Below are 20342 nucleotides of genomic sequence, written 5' to 3'. Positions count from 1 at the left end.
ACAGCATGAAAACTTCGCGAAGCATACACAAGTAGCAACAGCTGAGTTGACCAAGCGGAAGAAAGGATATCAGAATTTGAAGACCACTTTACTGAAATAAGACATACAGACAAGAATAAAGAAAAAAGAATGAAAAGGGATGAACAAAGCCTCCAAAAAATATGGGACTTCATAAAAAGACCAAACCTATGATTAATTGGAGTACCAGAAGAAGATGGAGAGAATGGAAATGAGCTGGAAAACACACTTCAGGATATTATCCGGGAGAAGTTCTCCAACTTAGCAAGACAAGCCAACATGCAAATTCAGGAAATACAGAGAACACTATTAAGATATTCCATGAGAAGATCAACCCCAAGACACACAATCATCAGCTTCTCCAAGGTTGAAATGAAGGAAAAACCGTTAAAGACAGCCAGAGAGAAAGGCTAGGTCACCAACAAACGAAAGCACATTAGACTAACAGCAGATCTCTCCTCAGAAACTCTACAAGCCAGAAGAGATTCTGGGCCAATATTCAACATTCTTAAAGAAAAGAATTTCAACCCAGAATTTCATATCCAGCCAAACTAAGCTTCATAAGCAAACTAGAAAGAAAACCCTTTACAGACAAGCAAATGCTGAGGGATTTCGTTACCACCAGGCCTGCTTTGCGAGAGATCCTGAAAGAAGCACTAAATATAGAAAGCAAAAACTGGTAACAGCCACTGCAAAAACACACCAAAATATAAAGACCAATGACACTATGAACAAACTGTGTCAACTAGTGTGCAAAATAACCAAATAGCCCCATGATGACAGGATCAAATTCACACATAACAATACTAACCTTAAATGTAAATGGACTAAATGCTCCAATTAAAAGACACAGACTGGCAAATTGAATAAGGAGTCAAGACCCATCAGTGTGCTGTATTCAGGAGACCCATCTTATGTGCAAAACACACACAGGCTCAAAATAAAGGGATGGAGGAAAATTTACCAAGCAAATGGAACACACAAAAAAGCAGGGGTTGCAAACCTAGTCTCTGATAAAAGAGACTTTAAATCAACAAAGATCAAGAAAGACAAAGAAGGGCATTACGTAATGGTAAAGGGAACAATTCAACAAGAAGTGCTAACTATTCTAAGCATATATACACCCTATACAGGAGCAGCCAGACTCATAAACAAGTTCTCAGAGATCTACAAAGAGATTTAGACTCCCACACAATACTAGTGGGAGACTTTAACGCCCCACTGTCAATATTAGACAGATCAACAAAACAGAAAATTAACAAGGATATTCAAGACTTTAACTCAGCTCCAGATCAAGTGGACCTAGTAGATGTATACAGAACTCTCTACCCCAAATCAACAGAATATACATTCTTCTCAGTGCCACATGGCACTTATTCTAAAATTGGCCACATAATTGGAAGTAAAACACTCCTCAGCAAATGCAAAAGAACTGAAATCATAACAAACAGTCCTTCAGACCACAGTACAATCAAATTAGAACTCAGGATTAAGAAACTCACGGAAAAACCACACAATTTCATGGAAATTGTACAACCTGCTCCTGAATGACTCCTGGGTAGATAATGAAATCAAGGCAGAAATCAAGAAGTTCTTTGAAACAAATGAGAACAAAGAGATGACATGTCAGAATTTCTGGGACACAGCTAAAGCAGTGTTAAGGGGGCAGTTTATAGCACTAAATGCCCACATCAGAAAGCTAGACAGATCTCAAATTGACACACTAACATCACAATTAAAAGTGTTAGAGAGTCAAGAGCAAACTAATCCAAAAGCTAGCAGAATACAAGAAATAACTAAGATCAGAGCAGAATTGAAGGAGATAGAGACACAAAAAAATCCTCCAAAAAATTAACAAATCCAGGATCTGGTTTTTTGAAAAAATTAACAAAATAGATAGACCACTAGCTAGACTAATAAAGAAAAACAGAGAGAAGAATCAAATAGACACAATAAAAAATGATAAAGGGGATATCACCACTGGCCCCACAGAAATACAAACTACCATCACAGAATACAATAAACACCTCTACACAAATAAACTAGAAAATCTAGAAGAAATGGATAAATTCCTGGACACATACACCCTATCAAGACCAAACCAGGAAGAAGTTGAATCCCTGAATAAACCAATAATAAGCTCTGAAATTTAGGCAGTAATTAATAGCCTACCAACCAAAAAAAGCCCAGGACCAGACAGATTCACAGTCGAATTCTACCAGAAATACAAAGAGAGGCTGGTATCATTCCTTCTGAAACTATTCCAAACAATTCAGAAGGAGGGCCTCCTCCTTAACTCATTTTATGAAGCCAGCATCATCCTGATACCAAAACCTGGTAGAGATATAACAACAACAAAAAAATTTCCGGCCAATATCCCTAATGAACATCGATGCAAAAATCCTCAATAAAATACTGGCAAACCAAATCCAGCAGCACATCAAAAAGCTTATCCACAATGATCAAGTGGTCTTCATCCCTGGGATGCGAGGCTGCTTCAACATATGCAAATCAATAAATGTACCATTACATAAATAGAACCAATGACAAAAACCACATGATTATCTCAATAGATGCAGAAAGGGCCTTTAATAAAATTCAACATCCCTTCATGTTAAAAACTCTCAATAAACTAGGTATCAATGGAACATATCTCAAAATAATAAAAGCTATTTATGACAAACCCACAGCCAATATCATATTGAATGGGCAAAAGCTGGAAGCATTCCCTTTGAAAACTGGTACCAGACAAGGATGCCCTCTCTCACCACTCCTTTTCAACAGAGTATTGGAAGTTCTGGCCAGCCCAATCAGGCAAGAGAAAGAAATAAACGGTATTCAAATTGGAAGAGAGAAAGTAAGTTGTCTCTGCAGATGACATGATTTTATATTTAGAAAGCCCCTTCATCTCAACTGAAAAATTTCTTGAACTGATAATCAACTTCAGCAAAGTCTCAGAATATAAAATCGATGTGCAAAAATCACAAGCATTCCTTTACACCAACAATAGGCAAGCAGAGAGCCAAATAATGAATGAACTCCCATTTATGACTGATACAAAGAGAATAAAATACCTAGGAATACAGCTAACAAGGGATGTGAAGGACCTCTTCAAGGAGAACTACAAACCACTGCTCAAGGAAATAAAAGAGAACACAAACAAATGGAAAAACATTCCATCCTGATGGATAGGAAGAATCAATATCATGAAAATGGCCATACTGCCCAAAGTAATTTATAGATTCAATGCTATTCCCATCAAACTACCATTGACATTCGTCACTATTTTAAATTTCATATGGAATCAAAGAAGACCCCGTATAGCCAAGATAATCCTAAGCAAAAAGAACAAACTGGAGGCATCATGTTACCTGACTTCAAACTATATTACAAGGCTACAGTAACCAAAACAGCATGGTACTGGTACCAAAACACACACATAGAACAATGAAGCAGAACAGAGACTTCAGAAATAACACCACACATCTACAACCATCTAATCCTCAACAAACCTGACAAAAACAAGCAATGGGGCAAATGATCTCCTGTTCAGTAAATGGTGTTGGGAAAACTGGCTAGCCATATGCAGAAAACTGAAATGGGACCCCTTTCTTATCCATTATACAAAAATTAACTCAAGATGGATTAAATACTTAAATGTAAAACCCAAAACCATAAAAACCTCAGAAGAAAACCTAGGCAATACCATTCAGGACATAGGCATGGGCAAAAACTTCATGAGAAAAAAGACAAAAGCAATTGCAACAAAAGCCAACATTGACAAATGGGATCTAACCAAACTAAAGAGCTTCTGCACAGCAAAAGAAACTATCATCAGAGTGAACAGACAACCTACAGAATGGGAGAAAATTTTTGCAATCTACCCATCTGACAAATGTGTAATATCCAGAATTTACAAGGAACTTAAACAGATTTACAAGAAAAAAACAACCCCATCAAAAAGTGGGCGAAGGATATGAACAGACACATCTCAAAAGAAGACATTTACGTGGCCAACAAACATGAAGAAAAGCTCCATATCACTGATCATCAGAGAAATGCAAATCAAAACCACAATAAGATACCATCTCACACCAGTCAGAATGGCGATTATTAAAAAGTCAAGAAACAATAGATGCTTGCGAGGCTGTGGAGAAACAGCAATGCTTTTACACTGCTATTGGGAGTGTAAATTAGTTCAAACATTGTGGAAGACAGTATGGCAATTCCTCAAAGATCTAGAACCAGAAATACCATTTGACCCAGCAATCTCATTACTGGGTATATACCCAGTAATATATAAATATACAAAGGAATATAAATCATTGTACTGTAAAGACACATGCACACATATGTTTATTGCAGCACTATTTACAATAGTAAAGACTTGGAACCAACCCAAATGCCCACTAATGATAGACTGGATAAAGAAAATGTGGCACATATACATCACGGAATACCATGCAGCCATAAAAAGGAATGACTTCATGTCCTTTGCAGGGACATGGATGAAGCTGGAAACCATCATCCTCAGCAAACTAACACAGGAACAGAAAACCAAACACTGCATGTTCTCATTCATAAGTGGTAGATGAACATTGAGAACACATGGACATAGGGAGGGGAAGAACACACACCAGGGTCTGTTGGAGGGTCGGGGGTGAGGGGAGGGAACTTAGAGGACAGATCAATAGGTGCAGCAAACCACCATGGCACACATATACCTATGTGACAAACTTGCAAGTTCTGCACATGTATCCCATTTTTTTTTTTTTTTTTTTTTGAGACGGAGTCTCGCTCTGTCGCCCAGGCTGGAGTGCAGTGGCGGGATCTCGGCTCACTGCAAGCTCCGCCTCCCGGGTTCACGCCATTCTCCTGCCTCAGCCTCCCAAGTAGCTGGGACTACAGGCGCCCGCCACTACGCCCGGCTAATTTTTTGTATTTTTAGTAGAGACAGGGTTTCACTGTTTTAGCCGGGATGGTCTCGATCTCCTGACCTCGTGATCCGCCTGCCTCGGCCTCCCAAAGTGCTGGGATTACAGGCGTGAGCCACCGCGCCCGGCCATCCCATTTTTTAAATAAAAGAAATAAAAAAAATGGTTGGGAAAAAAATAGTAATATTTCATGACATGAAAATTATATAAAATTTCCATTTCAGGGTCTATAAATAAAGTTTTATTGGAACATAGCTATGCTCCTTTGTTCACACATGTCTATGGCTATTTTTATACTACAGTGGCAGAGCTGAATAATTGTGACATAAATTGTATGAACCAAAATGTCTAACATATTTACATCTGGCTCTTTACAGAAAATGTTTGTTGAACTTTTATGTCAGCTAATTATTGTAAGATTAAGAGCATGCCTCAGGGTGGGCACAGTGGCTCATGGGTGTAATTCCAGCACTCTGGGAGGCCAACATAGGAGGATTTCTTGAGCTAGGAGTTTGAGACCAGCCTGGGCAACATGGTGAAACCCTGTCTCTACAAAAAAGTATGAAAATTAGCTGGGCATGGTGGCATGTGCCTGTGGTCCCAGCTACTTGAGAGGCTGAGGTGGGAGAACTGCTTGAGCCCAGGAGGTGGAGGTTGCAGTGAGCCAAGATTGTGCCACTGCACTCCAGCCTGGGTGACAGAGCAAGACTCCGCCTAAAAAAAAAAAGGAAAAGAAAAAAAAAGAGCATGCCTCAAGGCAGAAATAAAACGACGCATGCATGTGTCAGAGGCATTTGAACCAGAGTGACTCCATCTTGAATCGGGGCTGGGTAAAATGAGGTTGAGAAGTACTCAGCTGCATTCCCGAGGAGGTAAAGCACTCTTAGTCACAGGATATTTATGGTTAAGGGAACAGATTAATAATGTTTACCAAACAGACCCAGGACTTAACAGACCCAGGAAATGTCTTTATGTTCTGATATCTTAAGAACAAAAGCACTCTTAGTTTAAGAATAGGTTTTGCTTTAAAGATAATAATATAAATTCTTGTGGAAGACACAGTTACACAGAGACACCGCTGATAAGAACAGGATTTAGTAAAAAAGCTGGACAAAACGTGTCAAAACCAAGATGGTGATGAAAGTGACAGCTGCTCGTTATATGTTAATTATAATGCATTAGCATGCTGAAAGACGCCCCCACCGGCACCATGACAATTTACAAATGCCATGGCTAAGTCCAGAAGTTACCCTATATGGTCTAAAAGGAAGAGGAACCCCCAGTTCCCTGGGAATTCCCTTCCCCTTTTCCAGAAAACTCCTGAATAATCCACCCCTTGTTTAGCATATGATCAAGAAATAATGATAATAACAGCCAACCAGCAGCCTTCGAGGCTGCTCTGCCTATGCAGTAGCCATTATTTCTTTACTTCTCTAATAAATTTGCTTTCACTTTGCTCTGCGGCCTCACCCTGAATTCTTTCTTGTGTGAAATCTGAGAATCCTCTTTTCGGGCCTGGAAAGGGCCCCCTTTCTGGTAACACAAGGACTGAGTTGATTTTTAGCATTGGTCTTTTTAAAAGCAGGGCCCAGTTTGAAATGGTATTCCTTCTAGTGGTTTCCCACATCATTCAGAATGAATTCTGAAGACATTACTAGAGCTGAAGAAAGTCACTCTTGATGTTGCCTGTAGCTACCTCTCAGATTTCTACTATACTTTGCCCTTAGTCACTCTGCTCTAGCCACACTCCCTCCTTACTATTCTGGGAGTTGTACCTCAGGGCCTTTGCACTTACTGCCCTCTCCCCGGACCCCATCACCTTTCAGCATAATCTGCTCACTCATTGCATTCCTCAATCTGTCCAAATGTTACCTCATCAAGAGGCTTCTGTTACTTACCTTATCTAAGATAGCCCCAGTTCCCAAAACACATACTCTTGTTTTCTAAAATGTTAGCTCCCTCACCCAACCCTCCCACCCCTCACTGCTCACTGGCTGCCCCAAGAAACAGGCACTTTGACAGTTTTATTCAATACATCTTAGAAGTGTTTGGTTCAGAGTAGATGCTCAAAAATATGTGTTGAATGAATGAATTAATGAATAAATACATGATCCTATATGTGAGTTACTGCATCAAATAGTGATTCATATCTAAAATGCTGCAAGTTACATTGACAAAATAAATGCATGCACGTATGTACTACTCTGCTTTGTTGATGAAAAGATTTAAGGCAGAAAAAAAGGAGAGTAACCCACGTCAATCCAATTGTGGCTGAAATTGAACTACTATTGGCTAGACTGGTGGCATAACAGGTGATAGCTCTGTACAAGATGAAGCCAGTTTAGAAGGATCACGTGAGCATGATACAAAGCGGCCTGTGAGCTGTCTGGAGCAGAAGCAACAGTGATTGTGCACCTGCTGGTTGTGTGTTAGTGGTCCTCCCTTACAGGAGCTCATTAACCATGGAAGAGCTGCTGGGCTGGCCTTTTCACAGATATGGAAATTAGCTCTCAGACAGAAAATTTGCTTTAACTTTTTCTCATTTATGCAACTACAACTACCGGATTTGTAAATAATAAAATCGCCAAGTGGGAAAACAAAACATTGGTGGTGTTTTGCAAAAATAAAATTATGCTTGATTTATTGGAATTCTTCAAAGGAGAAAATGTGGATGAAGAGGACTAAGGGCTGAATTTTTTTTTGTTTTTTTCAAAATTCGTTATGGAAATAAGACAGGGAAGGAGGTGGGATTTTGTCCAAAACTGAAAGTTGGCCTGGAGATAGGAAATAAATAGAGTAGATAAATGAGAAGTTTGAAGGGTTGATTTAATAATTAATGGTAGAATCAGTCTTTTTAGCATCTTTATAAATGATGTGAAGAAAGCCTTATCAGAGAATCATTGGCTTTAATGACTTTTCCTTTGTATAGCTGGAAGGATTTAAGATAAGAAACTGCAGTCACTGAGTTGTTAATAAATTTTTCTCTACCTGAGGCATTTTGAATAGCTGACTCTGGACCAATCAAATGCATGTTAGCACCCAAAAGAGAAAAAGGAACTTTGTGTGTGTGTGTGTGTGTGTGTGTGTGTGTGTGTGTGTGTGTGTGAGAGAGAGAGAGAGAGAGAGAGAGAGAGACAGGCAGACAGGCAGACAGAATGGGATGGGGGTAGTGGGAGAAGTAACTGAAGGTGGAATTGAAATGGGAACTTTTGAAAAACAGGGCCAGAGTGTGTTTTAGCTTAGAAACACTACTGATATTTTTCTAAGTGATTACTGAATCCCCTCCCTAGGAAATTCTGACTCCAGTATCAAAGCAAGAAAACTCTTTTCCTACACTTTTGTAAAACCATATGTTAATACACTTGGAATATTGTGTATTTTTTATTGTTATTTGTGAATAATGGGAATGTTGAAGGGCAACTACCTAAACTCACTGGAAGGACATGGGTAAGAGGTGGCTGCTTATATGGCTTGAAAGAGCATGAAAACACTAGGTTGAGAAGAATAGAAGAATGTAGGACATAGGGTGAGGACAGCATAGTGGCTTTTGTCTAGTAATTTTTGCCAGTCAAGATCTGCTAAGGCTTACGTATCTGTTACTGGTTCCCTGGGTGTAATTCAAGACTTTACATAACCTGGATTTATTATAAATTGCCTTCTCAAAATCATCTCTCATTTCAGTCTCAGACCACCACCACACAGTATCAGAAGTGTATCTAATTAACAGAGGTTAATTGTTGTCATTATCATTATCATACTTAAAACACACAGTCAGCTGCTCCATTCTGTGAAGGCGTCCCAAAAGATCTCCCCCTCCCTCCACAGGATTCACTGATCCATTTTCTCTGGTTTTCCAAAGCACTTGTCTTTTTTTTTTTTTTTTTTTTTTTTTTAATTTTTAGGTTCAGGGGTACGTGTGAAGGTTTGTTAAATTGGTAAATTCATGTCACAGGGGTTTGTTGTATAGATTATTTCATTGCCCAGGAAGTTATGCCCAGTACCCAATAAGCTTAATTATATCACACTTGTCAATTTTTGCTTTTGTTGCAATTGCTTTTGGTGTCTTTGTCATGAAATCTTTGCGCGTTCCTACGTCCAGCATGGTATTGCCTAGATTGTCTTCCAGGATTTTTAGTTTTGGGTTTTACATTTAAGTCTTTAATTCACCTTGAATTGATTTTTGTATATGGTATAAGTGACACAGGATTCTTTTTTGGTGCTGCTTCCCAGTCGGAAATTTCCGTGGCTTGGCAGCACTCCTGTCTGGGCTTTGCTCAGCTCTGGGCTTGCCACTAGACTTGCGCTGCCGACTCGGCCCTGGCAGGCTGTACTTGGCTCGTGCTACCAGCCTGGATCTCATGCCCACTGAGAGTGAGCCAGGCATGCTGGCTGCTGCAGCAGGATGGGTGGCCCCAGGCACTGGCTCTGTGTGAGGCTATGGCTGGACCAGGCGTACCACAAGTAGCTTCTTCCCTGAGTGCTGGTGTCTGGACAAGCAGAACACGGTGGTTACCAAAAAACTTGGAGACACCAGCAACCATGGAACCCCAAAGGGGGTGTTAGTGTGTTACAGCTCTGGCTCAGGGAGTCCCGAGGTCTGGGCCCCAGAAGGGTCGCAGCTCATCCGTGCTACAGTTCCTTTTGTACCCACTGTTCCATGGTCCTGGGTTCTTGTCCCACATCCAAGGAGAATGAGGTTACACAGACAACCAGAGAGTGAGAAAGGTGGAGAAGTTTTATTGAGTGACAGAATAGCTCTCAGCAGAGATGGACCAGAAGTGGGTAGTCCCCAACCTGAAGGTGGATTGTCCCCACCCAAAGGCAGGTAGTATCCCCATGTGGCTGAGTGTGAGGTTTTTATAGGCTCAGAACTGGGGAGGTGTGGGCTGTAGGTAGCCTTGAAAAAGGCAACATTTGATTGATTTAAAAGCATTATTCAGAAATAACCAATTGGGAAAGAGCAGGCATGAAGTTCTCATTCTGGTCATGGACTCCATCTGGAACCAGCCACCTGCAAGAATCTGGAAATTTATAAGCAAAGAGCAGAGTGAGGGAGTCATTGAATGAAAATTACTAAGAGAATATATCAAGTTAGGGAGATTCTTGCTAAACTGATCAAATAGGATTCTTGCTAAAGACAGGCCAAAGACTTATACCTCAAACGTGAAGGATGGGTATCTTGGTCAGATCTCAAGCATGATCAAATATCAAGAGTGGGTGGGTGAGGATTCTTGCTAAACTGACTTAGCAGGATTCTTGCTAAAACTATGGGCTAGGCAGTCCAAAGACATAGTGGCGCCAAGATTAGGGCTTAGCTGAAAAGAGGACTCAGAGGAATTTGAGTAAAGTTTGCTCAAGGAGAGAGTCTTTGTCAAGATAAATATATCAATGAAAAGAGTCAAACTCCGTAAAATATTTGAAGAGATTTATTCTAAGTCACAATGGCCTGTGACCCAACCGCAGGAAATCTTCAGAACATGTGCCCAAGGTATTCAGGCTACAGCTGAACAATTTAGGGAGACATAAGACATCAATTTAGGGAGACGTAAGACATCAATCAATACATATAAGATGTACATTGGTTTGGTCCAGAAAGGTGGACAACTCAAAGCAGGAGCTTCTAGGTCATAGGTGGATTCAAGAATTTTCTAATTTACAGTTGGTTGAAAGGATCAAGTTACTGTCTAAAGACCTAGAATCAATAGAAGGGAATGTCCGAGTTAAAAGGTTGTGGAGACCAAGGTTCTCATCATGCAAACACAATCAACAGAAGGGAATGCTTCTTATAGAATTAGAGACTCTGTTCTACCAGTCTTAAGGTCTCTGTTTTAATGTTAATGCTGGTCAGCTGTGCCTGAATTCCAATAGGAGGAGGGTAAAATGAGTCATGTTCAACCTCTACTTTCCATCATGGCCTGGACTAGTTTTTTAGGTTAACTTTGGAATGCCCTTGGCCGAGAGGAGGGACCATTAGTCTGTTGAGGAGCTTAGAATTTTATTTTTGGTTTACAAATGCAAACTTTTATTGAATGCTTTCTCTCAATAATTGTAATAATGAGAACCTTTTCCAAGACACCATCTGTCATTACATCACTTCTTTCTTTTCTTGTACTTCATCAATCAATGAAAATCAATTGCAGTCATCCCGAAGCATCTGTGTGTGGGGGACTGGTTTCAGGACCTCCCACAGACAATGAAATCTAGGGGTGCTTAAGTCCCTGATATAAAATGGCATAGTATTTGCATGTAACCTATACATATCCTCCCACATACTTTAAATCATCTGTAGGTTACTTATAATATCCAATACAATGTAAATGAAATGAAATGGAAAGAGCTGTTATACTGTATTATCTAGGGAATAATGAAAAAAACCCTGACAGTACAGACGCAACCATCATTCCTTTTCTGAATATTTTTAATCCTCATTTGGTTGAACCCCTTAGTGTGGGACACACAGATATAGAGGGCCAACTGTATATCATTTTCTTCACAGAGTTTTTCTCAAAACCATGATTAGTGAGAGGATAACTTAAAGACAGACATGTGTAGCAAGTTTCAATAAACTCAAAAGTGCTAAATTGAGGAACATGTGAAAATAAAAATAAAGACCATAACATTGAAATTTTAAGTATTTTAACTCTTTTAAATAAAAATAGAAATATTTCTAAATTAAAATGATTTAAATCACTACATTAAAGTGACCTACTTTGTTTTAAGTAAATAAAAAGCTTCATAACAATTCTCCCACTTTCTACAAAGAGGGAAACATTACTCATAACATTTTGTTACCACAAGATGACTTATGTAAACAAAATGATTTTAAATGACCAGAACTCATTTACCCAATGACTACTGTCCCCATCAAAGAACAGATAATTACATATTTCTGTATGTGCAACTTTTAAAAAATAAACACCTATATGCTTGTCAACCTATGTAACATGCTTCTCTCAATAATTGTAATAATGATGGTTGCACCTGTGCTGTACATATACAGAGTTTTTTCATTATTCCCTAAACAATACAGTATAACAGCTATTTCCATTGCATTTACATTGTATTCGGTATTATAAGTAATCTAAAGATGATGTTCTCTAAAAGAAAAAATATTTGTTTGGGAATGGAGCATTGCAATGGGAATATTCATGCCATAGTAAACTATGTGCACATTCAGGGAGGTGAAGGAAGATAAAGATTTTTAAAGAAAAAAATGAGGAGGATTACATAATTGTTTGGAAAAAATTATCCTTGGCTACAATATCCTTGCCATTAGTAACAAGGGTGATGCCAGCCCAAGATCACTTATGGGACAGACAGTTGCTGGGCAGATATCCTTGTAGAAGTATTTTTTGTATAAGGATACGATGGCTTTCGTGCAAGGTTATGCTTTTTGCAGTCTTTTGTGATAGTTTTTGTTACCAGGCATACAAGCATGAGAACGCTTTCTTCATGGCCTTCCCTGGCTTGATTTGTCAGGGATTTCTTAATATTAGTGACTCTGTTTTGATTCTGATAACTTTTACACATCCCAACTGCTACTGACCCCACCTTTACTTCCCTGACTATTGAAACTCATGTGACTTTTGCTACAAGCTTTTCTATGAAGTCCAAAATTTGGAAGATCAAGAACAGCCACAGCTGGGCTGCCTAATATTTACCCAACATAAAAAACTTGTTCCCTGTAAGTTGTCTAAATGATTTTTGTTTACTTTGCTACCAACTAAAAAATACTTTCAATTAGAGATTTTATTTAGGATAATAAATATCATTACTATTATTGTTACTGTCAGCATATCCATACACTTGAGCAGATAAAATACATGGGGCTGATAGATTCTTCTTATGCATTACTTTACTCCTAGTGCTTTTTCTGAAAGTTAATGGAGAACAACTGCATTGGAGCCAATCGGCAAATGGGACGTGTGCTGAGGGAGGAGGATAGAGAAGTAAAGGGCAGGCTTTTGTGAGGTTGTTAGGACAGCTTGAGGGTAGTGGGAAAGAGGCACACTGAGAGGTGAAAGAAAATAGTGTCAGGAAAAACAGTGGAACAATTTTGTGGCTGAGTCCAAGCTTGTATGATTCACCACATGACAGTCAATAAGTTAAGAGAAGAGATGTTGGGGCAAGGAGAGCAACTTTATTCAGAGAGCAAGCAAACCAAGATGGTGGTGAACTAATGTCCTAACGAACCATCTTAAGTTAATACAGATTTGACTCCTTTTATGTTGGGGAAAGGGGAAAAGGGAGGGGGATGGGATCAGGAGGTCATCAATGACCACAAACATCGGCGTCAGCGAGAGTCCAAGGAGGTTGTGAAACTTCTTTGTCTTTGGTCAAGTCACAGTGCTCCTATAAATCTTAATAGGATAATTAATATTATCCTATTATTACTAATATTATCCTAAAAGTTACATAATATTGTAACTTGTGTGTACACCTTCGTTATCTCCTCAGGAGTTAGTTTAGGAAAGGGACTATTATCATCCTTACTTTAAGTTAACCTATAAACAATTCCTCCCATAGTTAGCTTGGCTCATGTGTAGACATAAGCAGAAGGAGTTAATCTAAAGGATATCACCAAGTGGGGGCAATTAAAAGCAAAATGGAGTCAGTCAGACTAGGCCTCCTTTTCACTGTTACACTTTGAAGATGATTGGGTGTTCTATGGAATGCTTGGTTTTTGTCTAGCCCAAGCTTCTTGTTTAGCTACATCTTTCATTGCCTCAGAGTTATCTTACCACTCTTAGTTGTTGTAAACAGATGGTAATACAAATAATTCTTGTCTATCGAAATGCAAATACATTTTTTGCTAGTGGGGATGCATTTATTTCCCTGTGGATACCCACCAGCTTTGCATCTATTAACAAATTCATTTCAGCCTATCTGACAGCCTATATCTTTGTTTGCTCCTTGGATTCTCCTTTGGCCTTGTTTTTAAAACCTTTCTGGTTCCCTTATTAATCAATGAGTTCTAAAAAATCTTTGACATGTTTTCATTTTACATTTGTTAAAAGCTCTGATTTTCTTTTTTAAAAATTTAAACTTGGCTGGGCGTGGTGGCTCACGCCTGTAATCCCAGCACTTTGGGAGGCCAAGATGGGTGGATCACGAGGTCAGGAGATCGAGACCATCCTGCCCAGCATGGTGAAACCCCGCCTCTACTAAAAATACAAAAATTAGCCGGGCGTGGTGGTGCGCCTGTAATCCTAGCTACTCAGGAGGCTGAGGCAGGAGAATCGCTTGAACCCGGGAGGCGGAGGTTTCAGTGAGCCGGAGATTGCGCCACTGCACTCCAGCCTGGATGACAGAGCAAGACTCTGTCTCTACAAAAAAAAAAAAATTTAAACTTTAACAGTTTAAGAGATCATCTTCCAAGATGTTCATAATGTTTAATAGAGCCAGGGGAGGCATATTGCTGGAGATGTACACTTTAAAGGAACCCCAGCACATGTTTTGTAGCTCCTGCAGATGAATATCAAGCAGTAACAGAACTTTAACACTCTTGAATTTCTGTTTCTCGACTTTTCCCCCCTCCACTGATTAAGTGTCTGTGTATTCTGAGCTCAAATCAATTAAGAATTTTGTGCTCATTTGCACAGAATATATATAGACCAGTGAGTTTTTGTGTTTTCTTTGTTTAATCTTAATCTTATAACTTCAGTTCTACAACTGAAGTTATATTCTTTGTGTCTGTGTATATGTGTTCGTAATTCAGAAAGCCTTTACTTCTTGTTTTGTAATTGTAAATTTTTTTTTATCTTTGGAGAATATTAATACACTAGTTAATAAGTTTCTTAAAATGTGTCAGGCCCCTGAAGCATAGAAATAAAGGAAAATCTTGAGATTCTTTAAGGGAAATTCCAGGCACCTACCTAGCCTTGAGCAGCAAATAAGCAACTTGATAAGCAAGAAGGTAATAGCAGCCTAAAAAAATAGCCAAGGATAAAATAATGGGATAGTTGGTTACCCTACAGAAACTAAAGATAACATCTTGGGGTGGGAACAGGGATTAACTGTAAATGATCATGAGGGATCTTTATTAGGAGGGTGAAAGTGTTATAAACTGGTTCACGGTGATGACTGTACCACTCGTAAGGTTACTAAAAATCATTGAATTGTACACTTAGAAGGGGTGAATTCGGCTAGACGCAGTGGCTCACACCTGTAATCCCAGCACTTTGAGAGGCCAAGGTGGGCAGAGCCCAGGAGTTCGAGACCAGCCTGGGCAACATGGCAAAACCCCATGTCTACAAAAAACACAAAATATTAGCTGGGCATGGTAGCACATGCCTGTAGTCCCAGCTACTGGAGGGTTGAGGTGGGAGGATCACCTGAGTCCAGGAGATCAAGGCTGCAGTGAGCCGAGATTGCACCACTGCACTCCAGCCTGGGTGACAGAGTGAAACTCTGTCTCAAAAAAAAAAAAAAAAAAAAAAGATGAATTCTATGAAATGTAAAAATATATCTCAATGAAGTCCCTTTAAATAGTTTTTTTTTTAAAAAAAAGATTACATCTTAACATATGTCCCCCACCAAATGGATCTGCCAGCTCGTAGACCTCAGGTAAGGGGAAAATAGGGACTAAACTTTGATCATTCTTTGTTCTGAATTTCTTTTTGAGTGACCTGGAGAAAGTCACACCCACAAGCTAGAGCCAACATTCTTTTTTGCTGACCCCAAATTTTTAAACAAAGCTTCTTTTCCTTAACCAATTGCAAATCAGAGAATCTCTGAATCTACCTATAACCTGTAAGCCCTGCTTCAAGATATCCTGCCCTTTCAGGTCAAAACCAATGTTTAACCTCAGTGTATTGATTTACAATTTTGCCTATAATTTCTGCTTTCTTGAAATTTACTCCTGCCTTTAAAAACCCTTACCTGCAAGCCACTGGAGAGGTCAGAATTTAAGCATTAGCTGTCGTATCATCCTTGCTTGGCACTGTGCAAATAAATGCCTCTCTCTCGCTGCTATCCTGATGTCAGCGTTTGATCTTGTTGTGCCTGGCAAGCAGAGCTCAGTTCAGTTCTGTAACAGTTCTTTCTGATTGATTTATAAAGAAGTAAGTGCCGATATAAATTGAATATCCCTAAATTCCCAGATAGTAAAGAAATCAAATGTTTAATACTTAAAAAGCATTGTACTTAAAAAAAAAATCCATCCTGTAGAAACAGCTAAATAAGGAACATTTAAGAATTCAAATTTATATAATTAAGTGAATCTTTGGTAAATGAGACTAGTTTAATAATTTTGGTTTTCCTCACTCATAAGTGGGAGTTGATCAATGAGAACACATGGACACAGGGAGGGGTACATCACACATCGGGGCCTGTCAGGGGGTGGGGAGGGGCTAGAGGAGTGATAGCATTAGGAGAAATACCTAATGTAGATGACGGGTTGATGGGTGCAGCAAACCACCATGGCACGTGTATACCTATGTAACAAACCTGCACGTTCTGCATGTGCAGAACTTTTTAAAGTACTTTAAATTAAAGTATAATTTAAAAAAATAAAAATAATTTTGGTTTTCACAAAAGAGCTATGTCTTCTCTCTGATTTATCAGTGTTAAGTATAATATATGTGTATGTAAGGGAGGAAAACTTTTCCTCTGCCTTCTTTGATTCAGTGATTTAGGGCTTGTGAATTAGAATGACAAAGACAGATTAACAGAAGAAAAGATATATTTTTATTCACATACATACATATGTGGAAGTTCACAGAAAAATGTGACACAAAGGGGCCATTAGATTTTGGGCCTTATATATCACCTTAATAGAGATGGGGTGGGGGATAAAGGACACTTACGGGAAAATAAATGACTTTTTGGAAAGACAAAGAAGCCCTTAGGAGAGTATATGAGAGACTTGATAGTTTTGTGACAATGTCTTTATATGAGTAGCATAGAAACTTCTCATCACCAGTGATGAGAGTCTATCTTCCCTGGTTGCTCCTGGGGAGGAGATTTATGTCAACTGAGCTTTTTTTTTTTTTTTTTTTTGCAATTCTTCTGGGAGGCTCTGTTTTTAGGTAGATAGATTTCAGGGACTCAAATGACTGCTCAAAATAATTTTTATGCTATAGTAGCATGTTCTGGACCCATTCATGTGCATTTTATTTGGAATTTTTTCCCTCAAGCTACAGGCTTACTGATAAAATAAGCTGACATTACTCCTATATAATGTTTAGGATTTCAAAAAATATAAATTTTCTTTAGCTAAATTTAGTCACTATTCTAAACAACTTATTATTTTAGTATGTCAGCTTTAAGATAATTTCCAAGATCTTTAGGTAACTTAAAACCTTGGACTGTTACTAAGTTGAGTTAATTAATAGATAATCACTGAGTCCTAGGACAATTTCTAAGTAAATAAGAACACTGAACCATTACTTAAACAGTTTAAAATTTATCTACTTTTGCTTCTGATTTTATATGCTACAGAAAGGCTATATTTTTCAGTCATGTGAATGAGTATGTTTATTTTTACCACCTTAAGAAGATGTAAAAGAGATGTGCAGCTGCTGTAGAATGTTGTGTTTTGTGTGTTCACATGCTAGTTTACTCAAATGCTTGTGCATGCCAGAAAGTTTGACAATCCACCCTCTTGGGATAAAAAGTTTTCCTCTACTCACTAAGGTTAGAACGGTTGGGGCCTGCAAATTAACTAACAATAGACAGACTGGCAGGAAAAAAGACAAGATTTATTTATGCCTACATATGGAAGTCATTCAATAATGAGCAACTTGCTGAACAGCCAGAGGTAAAGGTTTATATACAAAGTTAACCAAAAAGGGTAGATTTAGGACTTTAAAGGGAAAGTATCGAAGGTTCTATTGGGCTTTTTGATGCTAATGAGCAGCTGAATTCACATGTCTGGTGGTAAGTCTTTCTTTCAAACAAGAAACTTCCTCCAAGAAGGGGTGAATGGCTGCTGTATTTGGGGAGTATCTGCTTTAGTTTAGATAATGTTTCTCTCTGTGGCTGCAGATTGTTCATGTTTTTAGTTTAAAGTAATTTTAATCCCTTCACTCCCATACCATCATTTTTTTCTCTGTGAGTTAAAAGTCAGTAACTTTGTTAAAAATTAGAATTATTAGAGATGGTTGAGACCATAACAGGAGCAATAGTAACACAGAATTAAAATTGGGATTGTGCTTTTGTTTTTCAAAGAAAAAGAGTAGGTTTTTTCCCCCCTGAAGATAAAAAGGTTGTTTTCTTAAATCTTCAACTCCTTTACTCCAAAGAGTGTAAGAACTTTAGGGACTCCAAAGAGATTTGGTTTGTATGAGAAATGTAAAAAATATTTATTTTTTGAGTCATTGGACAGCAGCAATATCAATCATCTGCATCCATTGTACATTAAAACAAATAACAGTTTTTGTGAAAGATAACTATATATATGTTAAATATAAAAACTATGTTAGACATAAAAAAGATATATCTAGCTATCTATCTTTTTTTTTTTTTTTTTTTAGAGACAGGGTCTCACTGTCTTGCCCAGGCTGAAGTACAGTGGCTCAATCATGGCTCACTGCAGCCTTGAACTCCAGGGCTCAAGTGATCCTCCCACCTCAGCTTCCCAAGTAGTTGGGACTACAGGTGAGCACCACTATGCCCAACTAATTTTTAAAATTGTTTTAGAGATGGGGGTCTCAGTATGTTGCAGGCCTTGAACTCCTGGCCTCAAGTAGTCCTCCTGCCTCAGCCTCCCAAAGTGCTGGGATTACAGGCATGAGCCACAACACCCGGCTAAAATAACAAAATTTTCTAAAGCCACAATATATGAGAATGGCATTGTTTTACATTTTTGTAAATCTCTTAAATGTATGGCTTACTAGAAAATATCTGGATTCACATGTCTACATCTGCATTTAATCTGTTATAATATGATATATCATGTAGTCCCTGCACTGTACATGTGTGAGAATGAAAAAGGCAAATGCTATTTTAATATTATTATGAAAGTAGTTTTTACTTTGTGCATCCCCAAAAGGGTTTCAGGAACCTTAGAGCTCCCAAGACTGTACTCTATCTTTAAGAAAAGGGTGAGTTGATGCTAGAATATAAAAGTATAATGAAGGAGAAAACTTGAGAGTGATTTTTTTTCTCTTGATTTAAAATAACTGAGTATGAAAAGAGATTCTAAAATATGTTAAATTTTAGCAAAGATTACTCAGTTTTAATAACTTACTTCCTTGGTTTACAGAGTAATAACTGTCACCTATAATATGAAAGATTACTTTTTACCTTTCCTGTTATCTGCCTACCTAGCAGAGATTCTGTGGCTAATCAGAATTTTTTTGTGTTTGTGTTTGCTTTATTTTGATTTTACTATGTTCTTTACTATTTAAAGGAAAAAAAATCTCACTTTTGAAAGAGCTAAGGCTCTTTACAATCATCTCACCAAAAATTGTTTACTGTCTCTTTGATTAAACAGGTAACTAAGTATTGTTTCTCAGTAACCCATGATCCTACCTTAATTAAGTGTCTGTATATCCTCTGACAACTCTTTCGAAATAGATTTCCCAAAATTAAAACCCTAAATTTAGAAAAAAATTATTTTTTATATACCCTGCCAAAATTTATTTTTTATGTACCCCAAAATATATTTCAGATTTCTCAAGGGCTCCTGGAAAAATCACAAAGATTTGGTTTCTCACCATATAAAAAAAGAAAAGCCAGAAATAATTAGGTTTTTTTTGAAATATTACTATTGTAAGAATTAGATGGGAAGACTCGTCAGATTAGAAGAGATGTTCAATCTTCCCTAGAATATTAGTGTAGGCAAATGTTATTAATATAACTTTTCACAATGTGTATGCTTTATGGGAAGTTCCTGGAGTTTTGCCAGTGTTCTTGCTATCTATAATAGGTTTTTACTCTCAGGGGAAATATTATCAAAACTCATGAAATAGTTTTTTTTGTTTTGTTTTTAGTGACAGTGTCTCACTCTGTCACCCAAGCTGCAGTGTAGTGGCGTGATCACGGCTCACTGGATCCTCAAACTCCTGGGACCCTGAGTAGTTAGGACTACTGGCCTACGCCACCACACCTGGCTACTTTTAACATTTTCCATACAGACAAGGTCTTGCTGTGTTGCCCAGGCTGGTCTTGAACTCCTGGGCTCAAGTGATCCTCTCTCCTCAGCCTCTCAAAGTAGATTACAGGTGTGATGAGCCACGGCACCTTGCTGGAAATTCATGAAATAGTTATGTACTACACCACAATAGAGAATTTTACTTTCTTGTATTATTTTGCAGTAATAAATAAACCACACCCGTTGTCTTTGTTGTAATCTACACAGTTTTTACTTCACTCTCAGGCTTGTCTGAACACTCTAAATTACAGCCCAGAGTTTGTGTCTTTAACAAATAAATACAGTTTTATATA

At 38.3% G+C, this 20342-nt stretch overlaps 1 annotated feature.

Annotated features, from left to right (window-relative positions):
* Positions 9406–9907: an enhancer, noted in NCBI's record as "H3K27ac hESC enhancer chr5:107753479-107753980 (GRCh37/hg19 assembly coordinates)". NCBI's record gives its function as "activates a minimal SCP1, AML or CMV promoter by ChIP-STARR-seq in naive H9 embryonic stem cells {active_cell/tissue: H9 hESC(naive)}" and the evidence as "EXISTENCE:reporter gene assay evidence [ECO:0000049][PMID:30033119]".

This window comes from Homo sapiens, chromosome 5 (assembly GCF_000001405.40).
Source record: "Homo sapiens chromosome 5, GRCh38.p14 Primary Assembly".
Classification (NCBI taxonomy): Eukaryota; Metazoa; Chordata; class Mammalia; order Primates; family Hominidae; genus Homo; species Homo sapiens.
Note: the sequence above shows the minus strand (reverse complement) of the source record. Positions and strands in the feature narration are given on the sequence as shown.